We start from the raw sequence: 12,229 nt of genomic DNA on the forward strand, positions 1-12,229 counted from the left end.
TAAAGTAAATAACTCAGACTTGTTTTGCCCCTGTTTAATCTGGATGAGCAATGTTATGCTGTATGTAACAAAACTCTCATAAGAACTTTAAAATACATATTTTGTTTTAGAGACAAGCTCTCTTTATGTTGCCCAGGCTGACCTTGAAACCCTGAGCTCAAGCGATCCTCCTGTCTCAGCCTCCCGAGCTGGGACTATAAGCACGTACCACACCTGGCTAGAACTTTTTACTTATTTCCGTATGTTCCATATCGATCTCTTAAGATCTGAAGCATTTTATTTTCCTTTTTCATTTCCTTGTTAAATAGTTTTCGAAAGCTAGCGCCTTGAAAAACATTGGGCAGGTTTTCAATATCACTAATTAGGGACATTCTGATTTTGCCTCATATAAAACACAGACTTTTTTTTTTTTTTTCCAGACAGTCTCACTCTATTGCCCAGGCAGGAGCGCAGTGGAGTGATCTCGGCTCACTGCAACCTCCACCTCCTGGGTTCAAGCGATTCTCCTGCCTCAGCCTCCCAAGTACCAGGAATAGTGAGATTACAGGTGTGTGCCACCACCCCCGGCTAATTTTTTTTTTTTTCCATACTTTTAGTAGAGACAGGGTTTTGCCATGATAGCTAGGCTGGTCTCGAATTCCTGGCCTCAAGTGACCCGCCCGCCTCAGCCTCCCAAAGTACTGGAATTACAGGCATGAGCCACCGCACCCAGCCACATTTTCATTTATATATATTTTCCTGCTCTGTGTTTAGAAGTTAAGAAGACTGATTGAAAATTAAATTTTTGAATAGATGATATATGTACATGGGATAAAATTCTAAAGGTAGAAATAATATATAGTGATAAATAAATCTCTTTTTTACCTATCCAGTTCCCCTTTCTAAAGGCAAAGTTTGTTACAGTTTTCTCTAATTCTTCCAGAGATTCTCCATGCAAATATGTATGAGTATGCATGTGCATGTGCGTGTGCGTGTGTGTGTGTGTGCATGTGTGTATTTTTTACTGTGGTAAAATATAGATAACCTAAAATTTATCATTTTAAGTACAGAATGCAGTGGCATTAACATTACTCTACAACCATCACCGCTATCCATTTTAGGCTTTTTCATCTTCCCAAACTGAAACTCTGTACCCATTTAACAATAATTCCATATCCCACCCTCTCGCAGCCTGTGGCAACCACCGTTCTGCTTTCTGTGTCTATGAGTTTCATTATCTTAGGTGCCTCATATATCAATGGAAGAGTACAATATTTGTCCTTCCTGTGCTTGCTTGGGCAGCACATATACTAAAATTGGAACGCTACAGAGATTAGCATGGCCCCTGCACGAGGATGACATGCAAATTTGTGAAGCATTCCATTTTTAAAATACAAACAAACAATATTTGTCTTGTGTCTGGTTTATTTCACGTAGCGTAATGTTCTCAGGGTTCATCCATCTTGTTGCATGCGTCAGAATTTTATTCCTTTTTTGAATAATATTCCATTGTATTTATATCCCACATTTTGTTCATCCATCTGTGTATTGATGGACATTTGGGTTGTTTTCATCTTCTGACTGTTGTGAATAATGCTGCTATGAATACTGGTGTATAGATATCTGTTCCAGTCTCTGCTTTTAATTCTTTTGGGTGCATATCCAGGAGTGGAATTGCTGGATCATGTGGTAGTTCTGTGTTTGATATTTGAGGAACCACTGTACTGTTTTCCACAGCGGCTGCGCCATGCTGCATTCCCACCAGCAATGCCCAGAGATTCTGTTTTCTCCACATCTTTGCCAGCACTTGTCATTTCTGTTGGTTTTTTGGAGGGGGGTGTTGTTGTTATTGTTGTTTCTCTAATAACCATCCTACTGGGTGTGAAATGGTATCTCACTGGGGCTTTGATTTGCATTTTCCTAATGATTAGTAATATTGAACATCTTTTCATGTACTTATTGGCCATTTGTACATCTTCTTTGGAGAAGTGTCTAGTCTTTGCCCATTTTTAAACCAGGTTGTTTTATTTTGTTGGTTTTTGAGTTGTAGGATATGTGTTTATTTTTAACGTGAATGGTATGATACTATATAAACCATTCTGCACTCTGCTTTTTTTACTTATCAATATATCTTGACTATTTATTAATATATAAAAATTGGCTGGGCGCAGTGGCTCAAACCTGTAATCCCAGCACTTTGGGAGGCCGAGGTGGGCAGATCACCTGAGGTCAGGAGTTCAAGACCACCCTGGCCAACATGGTGAAACCCCGTCTCTACTAAAAATACAAAAATTAGCCATGCATGATGGCGGGTGCCTGTAATCCCAGCTACTTGGGAGGCTGAGACAGGAGAATCGTTTGAACCCGGGAGACGGTGGTTGCAGTGAGCCGAGATTGTGCCACTGCACTCCAGCCTGTGCGGCTGAGCGAGACTCTTATCTCAAAAAAAAAAAATTATCCTTATTTCATTGTATGGATGAATCATAATATATTGAATTAATCTCCTTACTAATGGACGTTTAAGTTGTTTCCAGGCTTTTGCTATAATAGCTCATGCTGCAGAGAATATCTTAGCATGCATATCATCTCACAAAAGTGAGAACTTTTTCTCGGTAAATTATTGGAAATATGTCAAAGGGCTTGACAATTTTTGGTAGATGTTGCTATCTTGATGATAGAGTCTCTCATCTTGTGTGAGAGTACCAGTTTCTTCAGTCCTTCTGAAACAAGCTTTAATTATCAAGCATTGGGATTTTTTCCCAATCTAATATGTGAAAAATAGAAACTCAGTGTTAATTTTCTTTTTCTTTTCTTTTCTTTCTCTTTTTTTTTTTTTTGAGACAGAGTCTCGCTCTGTTGCCCAGGCTGGAGTGCAGTGGCACGATCTCAGCTCACTGCAACCTCTGCCTCCTGGGTTCATGCCATTCTCCTGTCTCAGCCTCCTGAGAAGCTGGGATCACAGGCTTGTGTCCACCTGGCTAATTTTTGTATTTTTAGTAGAGATGGGGGTTCACCATATTGGTCAGGCTGGTCTCGAACCCCTGACCTCAGGTGATCCACCCACCTTGGCCTCCCAAAGTGCTGGGATTACAGACGTGAGCCACCATGTCCAGCCTAATTTTCATTTTCTAAATTAGAACATCTTTCATATCTCTTAAAACTGTTTGTATTTCCTTTTGTTTGACCTGACAGTTTATGATTTTTCCCCATTTCTTCCCACTGAATTATTGATCTTTTTCTATATGAAAGGTCTCAGCCTTAGTCATGATGTGTCTGTCATCTATCTTTTCACTCTACTTTTACTTTCTGGCATGCAGATTTTTTTTTTTAATTTAGTCAAATTACACACCTTTGGAGTATGGATTTAATTTTTGGAAACAAACGAATGTCATTTCGAGTAGTTTTAGTAGAATAAATTTAGGTTCCCCTAAATAAAGCTAATTTGGTGGGGACAAAATACACCCACAAGGAGTGCCTCTAAGGTAAAGAAGATAATTTTTCCATGTAGCTGATAAATTTAATTTGAAAATGACTCTAATCTTATTCACAAACAAATCCAGTTTTTTTGTAATCTAATGGAATAAAAGTACACCACAAGTCCGTAGAGACAGTTGCTGGCTCTATCATGCATTTTCTATGTGTCACCCTCTTTTTATTTCATTTTCCTTATCTATAAAATTGAAATAAAAATGCCAGCACCACTTAAGCCACAAGAGTATAAGAATATCAAATAAAAAATATCAACTTACTTTTTTTAACACTCCATTCTAATCAATTTCAGAACAGGTTGATACTCAAGAATTTGGTGAGCTAAAATGAGATGGGGCCCAATCCTGGAATAAAAGTGCCAATCTTTCCCCTTTCCCAAGCCACACCCATCTGTCCTGTTCCTATGCTTCAATGCCTTTACAGTGCGACCTTATTTTTAGTATTCCAGACTATTCTGTGTGATATGGTTTCACTGTGTCCCCACCCAGATCTCATCTTGAATTGTCGCTGCCATTATCCCCACATGTTGTGGGAGGGACCCGGTAAGAGGTAATTGAATCATAGGGGCAGGTTTTTCCCATGCTGTTCTTGTGGTAGTGAATCAGATGATTTTATAAAGGGCAGCTCCCCTGCAGACGGTCTCTTTCCTGCCGCCATGTAAGATGTGCCTCTGCTCCTCCTTCGCCTTCCACCATGATTGTGAGGCCTCCCCAGCCATGTGGAACTGTGAATCCATGAAGCCTCTTTTTCTTTATAAATTACCCAGTCTCGGGTATTTCTTCATAGCAGTATTAGTGGTATGAGAATGGACTAGTACACTGTGTTTACTTTATACCTGCCCTATCTATAGGAGATTTTCCCTAATATTTTCTTAATCTTTAGACAAATTTTGCAGTCCAGCAGCACCAAGTATCCACTTGCTAATACAGTGAGTCTCTTTTTTCATTGCTTCCATCTTCAACTCAGTATAAGTCTCTGAGGCTCTTGGTATCCAATATTTATTTCTTTTACTGATAGGGAGACTTCAGCTTCGTTAGCAATTGGCAGGAACCTTGAGTGTACTAGGTCCTGTCTAAAATTCTGTAAGAAATAGTAACAATAACTTATTTGTAATGGATTAGAAATAACTTTTCCTAGGAGCACTGGAGGTACCATAAATATTACTTTTACTTCTTCACATATAGTGCTGTTTTGAAGAGATATTAAAATAACATTTCGCAATTCATGTTTATCAGGTAGTAGAAAGTGTGAGCAATGTGGAGAGATTGCATGGACAGTTCCCCCAAGACAGTTATTATCTGAGAAAGCTGGAAGCTACTCAGAGAGCTTTATAAAAACTGTTATCGATACTGGGTCTGCATTTGTGCAATGGAAAAACATGGAAGAGGAATGGGAATTGCTGGGTCCACACACCCCTCAATAAGAAATGAATTGTAAAAACAGGTTTATTCATGCAGTGATTGTTCACATGTATGAATGAAGTGAATGATGAACTAAGACTACATGTGTAACTTGGATAAATCTCAAAAAACAACGTTGAATTTAAAAAATTACAAAAGGACGGAAACATAGTACCATATATATACACTTTAAATACACAAAATAATAGTAAATATTGTTTATGAATACAAATATATGCATGGAAATGATAAGGATTATCCTCAGAATAGTGGTGTGATTGCATCTGAAGATGAAAGGAGAAGGGATGAGGAGTGGAATGTTAGCTGTTTCTGCAATGCTTTCTTGTCAGGAAAAAAATTCTGAAGAAAATGTGGCAAGATGTTAACATCTGTTAAATCTTGGTATTGGCTGTCGTATTTTCTCCTGTACTTTTCTCTGAAATACTGTACAACTACACATAAAAATAAATATTTTTAAAAGAGTGATTTATATCTTATCTCTTTACCATCTCACTTTGTAGTTGCTTTGTTAAAAATTGGTTTCTTATCATGGTCCTTTTGATGAACTGGGATTAAAGAAAAGAGTCAAAGAGAATTTTTTAAAGTCATTCCAAATTCTACTTCCTGAAATAATAATTTTTAATGTTAGACTACTATTATTCTAGAGCTCTTTCTATCCCTGTGTAATAAAATAAGTGGATAGAAGGGTGGGAAATTAATGAGAAAGGAAGAAGGAGGAAAGGAAAGGAAGGAAAAAGATATTGAAGAAAAAATCTAGGATATAATCTTCATGTGGGAAGGACTTACTTTAATTTTACTTGACTGGGACAAAAGAAAAAAAATTAAGTTGAAGAAATTGTGGAATCTCAAATGTTTGTTAGCCATAAGAGACGATATTTATTTTAAGTTCAGAAAAGATTTTGAGAAAAACATTAAGAGACTGTAGTCCTTGTGTGTTTTTTTAAACTATCTATTTCGAATATAAAAAGTGTCAGTTGATTCCTTGCTGTGAAAGATAAGGACATTAGCACTTCCAAAATTCTGTCTACGTTTTCTCTCCCAACCCCCAATTTATCTTAGGTATATTTTTATTTTTACACTGACAAGGTAGAATGTTCATACTTTGTTTAGTATTCACACATATTTTAGTAGTTTTGTATATTTGAATGAAATTACCACTAACCACATTTTCTCATTTTTTTCTCCATCCTTGAATTCTTTGATTTATTTTTGTGTGTTGATTCTCTTGTCAGTTTTTTTTTTTTTTTCAGGAAGTGCTCATGGATGTTTTTGAGACTGGGTCTCCGTCTGTCACCCAGGCAGGAATGCAGTGGTGCCATCACGGCTAACTGCAGCCTCGACCTCCTGGGCTCACACGATCCTCCTGCCTCAGCCTCCTGAGTAGCTGGGACCACAGGTACACGCTACCACACCCAGCTAAATTTTAGTTTTTGTAGAGACAGGGTCTCCCTATGTTGCCCAGGCTGGGCTTGAACTTCCGGGCTCAAGCAATCTGCCTGCTCAGCCTCCCAAAGTGTTGGGATTAGAGGCGTCAGCCACCATGCTGAGCCTCTTTTATCTTTTACATGTTTTTTTTGTGCTTGAATACTTTTTACTTGAATGACATCTTATAAATTTACACAATCATTTCTCATGGCTAAGAAGTGTTCCAATGTGTAACTATACTAGAATTTAACATATTTCCTAATTTTAGAAATGTAGGTTGTTTGTAATATGATGCTGCTGTAATTGTGACTGGGCTAGAATTATTAGTGTGGAACTTTTCAAAGATCTTATTTCTCTCCTGCACTGCCAAAAAATAAACCCTGGATGCCCAATTTATTTTATCTTTACCTTTTCTTAAAGAGGAATATTTTTTTTCTTGTTGGGAGAAGAGATATGTCAATCATTATAGTTACGTTCTGAGAGTGGGATGGTGTGCAGGATAAAGAAGAAACCCACTCTGACCGAGACTGGAAGAGGAGTTTGTTAAAGATGTGGGGGAAGTAAGATTTGAGAGAGAGGAGTGGAACTTGAGCAGTTACAGAATATGAAGGAGCAATCAGGAAAGGGGATTACAGCTTAAAAGTTTTTGAATAGATAATATGTTCACATGTTTAAATCCAAAGAGAATAAAATTCAAAGAAAAGTCCCTGTAACTCTTTTCCACCAGTCACCCAGTTCCCTCTAAAATATTGGCAACCAGAATACTAGTTTCTAGGGATCACTCCAGATTCTAGCCATACACAAGGAAATGCAGGTATATTATTTTCTTATACCCTGTTTTTACTGAAATGGTTACTTACTTTCATACTATGGTATGATTCCCATGGAGTGGGGTCATATCTGTGATGAAGCTTGCTTTTATGGCTTTTCTGTAGCGTTCGGGGATCTGGAATGGAGGTAGCTCTCCAGTTCAAGCTTAGGCTAAGTGGCATAAATGCCATAAGGGTTAATGTATTGGAGGACATCACAAAGGGCATGGGGTCGGTCCTAGATATCCCAGTAGGCTATGTTCCAGGCTTTACAGATGGGAGTTAATAGGAATGGCATTGTGACAAGAAAAATAACATTTGGATTCAGGCTTCCCTCTTCAGGGCCCATTACTGGCTGTTTTAATAAAGAAGGCCATTTCTGTATCTTTGGAGGCCAACTTTGGTTGACTGTGGATTACAGGTATCTGTCTGTTTTTGTTTTTGAGATGGAGCCTCACTCTGTCACCCAGGCTGGAGTGCAGTGGCCTGATCTCAGCTCACTGCAACCTCCACCTCCCCGGTTCAAGCAATTCTCTTGCCTCAGCCTCCCAAGTAGCTGGGATTACAGGCACCCGCCACCATGCTCAGCTAATTTTTGTGTTTTTAGTAGAGAAGGGGTTTCACTATGTTGGCCAGGCTGGTCTGGAACTCCTGACCTCAGGTCATCTGCCCATCTCAGCCCTCCCAAAGTGTTGGGATTACAGGTGTGAGCCACTGTGCCCAGCCCTGTTTTTTTTTTTGGAAAAGGAATCTCGCTCTGTCACCCGGACTGGAGTGCAATGATGTGACCTCAGCTCACTGCAACCTTCATCTCCTGGGTTCAAGTGATTCTCCTGCCTCAGCCTCCCAAGTAGCTGGCATTACAGGCAGGAGCCACCACGCCTGGCCAATTTTTGTATTTTTAGTAGAGATGGGGTTTCACCATGTTGGCCAGGCTGGTCTCGAACTCCTGGCCTCAAGTGATCCGCCTGCCTCAGCCTCCCAAAATGCTGGGATCACAAGCATGAGCCACTGTGCCCAGCCTATTGTTCTTATTGGACTGTCTTGATCAAGTGCAAATTTTGCTGTATGATTTCAAAAGTGGGGAGCCAGAGGCTGTCTGAGGATTGGTGGTTTCAGAGAGTGTACTTCCTGAGGCCTCTGGGTGTGTACCCTCTGTGGCTTCCAGATTCATTCGTCCTGCAGCCTCAACCTATTCTCCTTAACAGAGGAAATCTAATATTAGATTCACTCGAAAAGTGTGGAAGACTTAATGCAAATGCACCACAAAGAACAGCTCATGGTAGTTTCTTTATTAGCTTTGAAATATAGAATGGACACAAGCCAGAAAGTGTTACTGTGTATTCCTGTGGCCCCACACTTGTTTGGAAACGGGGCTCCTTTTTATCATTCTGTTGGTCATGCTCTGTCAGGTTGGATGGGACCAAATATTCTTTAAGTTTTCTCAGTTCGAGCAAGTTTCTTGTAAGGACGTATTTGGAAATAAGTATAAGTGATAGAAGGTGTTATAAGTAATCCAGAGAGGATTTAAAGTATATGGAAGGATGTGCTTAGGTTATATGCAAATACTATGCCATTTAATACAAGGAATTCATTTGTATAAGGAATAGCAAAAAGTCCCCTCAGCAGCATTCCAGCCTCTCAGTGTACTGGAAGGACATTTATTGCCATTAGGGTAACACAGGGGCTCTCGTATTTCAAGTCACTCTGGTGACTCCACATCACCTGGTAATCTAACATGCTGGTGATTCTACTCACCTGCTTTTATTTCTTCTTTTCCAGATTCTTCCTATTTTGCTCCCGACTGATTTGATCCTGCTGTGTGTCTCCTACTCCTTTGCGTCTACCTCCTCATGGGTTCAGATGCTTTGTGATTCTGCACCTGCCTTCTCTCTCTGTGCCGTTCCTCTTCCATCTCTCTTCCATCTGTATGTCTTGCTTTAAAACTCCCAAGGAAAAAAGAAGAAAAGTCGGCTTTGGTCATTTGTCAATATTCAGTAGTGTGTGCCTTTGTTGAGCAGAGCTCAACTGCATCAGCCCCTCTCTTGCACACCTATAGAGGGACGCCTTATTTTGGTTAAGTAGCCATCTCTGGTTCAAGTATCTGTGCCTAGGGAGGCAGGTCCAATGGTACAAAGCATAGCAACCTATACATTCAGAAACTCTGGGGAGGGAAGTGTGGATTTGGCAGAGACCTTACTGCTCATCTGATATAGTTACCCCAAATCCTAATGAGGTTGTTTGAGCCTAGTGTTAGGCCATTCCAACACAGTTTCTAGGCCAACAGTTGGAACTCTGTGGTAAACTCACCGGTTTATTACCATCCCCCTCCCTGGTAGTGCTAGTGATTCATGTCATGGTGGTCGGCTGTGGTGGAGATTGCATAGTCTAATTCTGTTTCCTCTCCTCCTGAGCACATAGCTATACTGTAATTCCCAGATTCTCTTGCAGATAGAGGGGAGCTGGGAATTATGGTCTAGCTAGACCATGTGACCTAGTTTTTACCAATGAAATGTGGATGGAGGTAATGGGTGCTACTTCTAGGCCCGGTCCATGGAAACCTCCCACGTGGGAGGTGCTTTTCCCTTTACAGCTTGATATATACAGTATAGTGACATTGGAAGCCATATGTTGAAAATTATGGAACCACAAGATGGAAGGAGCTGGGTCCCTGAATGAGTTGTCGGAGGAAAGCCATCCACCGATCAGGAAAATCCATTTTGGATTTTATGTGAGCCGTCTCCATGACTATTGTGTTAAGCCACTGGAGGCTGGAGTTTGTTACAGCAGTGGCTGTTATCCTCACATAGTGGCATTATTGATTTTGCTCCACAGGGACCCAAGGAAGGCTTTGGGCTCCTTAGGTATCTTGGTGAGCACTGTCCCAGGCGGAAGTTGGTTAACAGGATGGCCCCCTTCAGGGAGGGCTGATGGGGTATGGGAGAGCGACCATCGCTTTGCTACTCCTGATAAGCATGACATAAAGAATGTCTCTCTTTAAGCCTTCCTCCCCGAATCCCAAGCTGTGGATATCAATACATTTGTATAGATTCATGCGAGAGTTCCAGAGTATTCTGAAACTGCCTCTGAATTTATTTGCAGAAAGGTAGGGGTTAGTAACTAGTGATACCACTTTATGCACAGAGCAAGTAAACTCCATCTTTACCATGGCCAACTGTAGCAATAGAGTTCAGTGTTTTCTATATCACAGATAGAAGAAGTAACAAAACTTCATCCATTTCATCTTCATATATAGTAAGGCGAGGTGTCTGAGAGGCAGGGGTGAGAAAGACAAGACTGGCATGCATGGTATTGAAATGGCTGTGAAAGGGAGAAGATTTGCTTATAGTAGCAGGGCCCAGGTAGCATGGGAATTCATTACTTTTATCTTTAAAGGGGTTAGAAACAAGTGTTCAGAGGTGCCATGCAGTAATGAAACCAGTCCAGGAGCCAGGCTGTAAGTGCTGTAATTCAAGTAAGCTTTTGGTTAATTTAAAGGGATGGTAGTTACACCAGCTCCTAACCCATCGCCATCTTCTGTTTCATGTTTTTGATTACTGAGAAGTGACACTCAAATGTTTATTTTTTCTTAAAACTACTGAGTACATTTTGTAACAGCTCCAGTTTCTACTGAGAGCTCATTTATGCCATATTTCCTTTGCTCACATAACTCTAAGAGTACTTCTGTTTTTTACTGAAAGCTTGTATTTCTGTCTCTGCTAAGTTATAAACTTACTGATGACAAAATGTATTTATTATTTGAGTTCTGTAACGCATACAACATTGCCTTTTCTCTATATACAGTGTGATAATATTAGCTGGGGGTATGTAACTAGTTGTGTGGTGTTATTAGGAAATGAATCTGTAAAGGTGGGCTGGGGCCATTCAGTGAATGATCTTGTCTGTTGCTCTAGGATCCTGGATTTCATTGTGTAAGCAATACAAATCCATAAATGCTGAGAAGGGATAAGATGAGATTTGGGCTTTTAGAAAGAAAACCCTAGCCAGGTGTGGTGGTGCACGCCTGCTGTCCCAGCTACCCAGGAGGCTGAGACGGAAGATTGCTTGAGCTTGGGAGTTCGAGACCAGCCTGAGCAACATTTCAGGATTAAAAAAAAAAAAACAAAAACCCAAAAAAGAAAGCAAACTCTAGCTTTAGGATGGTAGATCCATTGGCGTGCGGACCAGAGCAGTAGTTCTTAATCCTGGGTGAGCTTCAGAGCGGCCTCACAGCACGGCTAGTCCGGTACTGCATGCGAAGGAGCAGCACAGAGCTGGCACACGGCGGGCTCTCCAACCCAACTGGACCTGGTGACCTTTATGAACCCGCAGCCCAAAGCCAGGCAGAATCAAGGAGGTCTCCACAGGTGCCGGTGTGGGTAGCTTATGGGCCTTAGCCACACCCTGGCAAGTAACTATCCCTTTTCATAACAAAGCTTTCCTGGGCACTTACCCTGCCAACTGTATTCTGCCGAGTTCTCCTCTCCCGGAGGCAGTGAGCATGGAATGCCCTTGTCTACGTTGGGAAAAGGATATAAAGGATTATGGATGAAATACCTTCTCCCACAAACGCCTTCTATATAAAACAAAACTAAAAAATTTCCACCCACTAAAACCCCTGGCTAAGGCCCTATGATTATCTTTCTCTTTACAGCTAAGAATCTTAAAAAAGAGTTTGCTCTTTATTGAGCACTCTGTTCCTTCTTCAACGTGCAATTTGTAATTTCACTTCTATCTCTCCGTCCCATCCTGTTCAAACTGTTTTTCCTGAGGTTGTTGTCTCTTACTTTATTTTTCATATGATTGTCTTTTGTTTTCTTTTCTTTTCTCTCTTCCTTTCCTTTCCTTTCTTTCTTTCTTTTTTCTTTTTTTTGACAGAGTCTCACTTGCCCAGGCTGGAGTGCAGTGGCGCAATCTCGGCTCACTGTAGCCTCTGCTTCCTGGGTTCAAGTGATTCTCCTGCCTCAGCCTCCCAAGTAGCTGGAATTACAGGCGTGCACCACCATGCCCGGCTAATTTTTTATTTTTAGTAGAGATGGGGTTTCACCATGTTGGCCAGGCCGGTCTTGAATTCCTGACCTCAAATGACCCACCTGCCTCAGCCTC

General features: G+C 40.7%; 1 protein-coding gene, 1 long non-coding RNA gene and 1 pseudogene across 24 annotated transcripts in view; all 3 read left to right on the forward strand.

Moving 5' to 3' along the window:
* Nucleotides 1-12,229, forward strand: part of DRC8 (dynein regulatory complex subunit 8) — a 155,548-nt gene that overhangs the window by 52,068 nt on the left and 91,251 nt on the right. The gene's annotated exons all lie outside the window — the stretch shown is intronic.
* LOC107985725 (uncharacterized) lies at nucleotides 504-10,870 on the forward strand. Of its 2 annotated transcripts, none has more exons than XR_007066990.1 (2): nucleotides 504-547; nucleotides 8,906-10,870. It is a non-coding gene; the product is annotated as an uncharacterized LOC107985725 (long non-coding RNA). The 2 variants fall into 2 exon arrangements; XR_001737765.2 differs by lacking the exon at nucleotides 504-547 and adding an exon at nucleotides 4,541-6,285.
* RNU6-1089P (RNA, U6 small nuclear 1089, pseudogene) lies at nucleotides 1,266-1,369 on the forward strand (annotated as a pseudogene).

This window comes from Homo sapiens, chromosome 1, assembly GCF_000001405.40.
Source record: "Homo sapiens chromosome 1, GRCh38.p14 Primary Assembly".
Classification (NCBI taxonomy): Eukaryota; Metazoa; Chordata; class Mammalia; order Primates; family Hominidae; genus Homo; species Homo sapiens.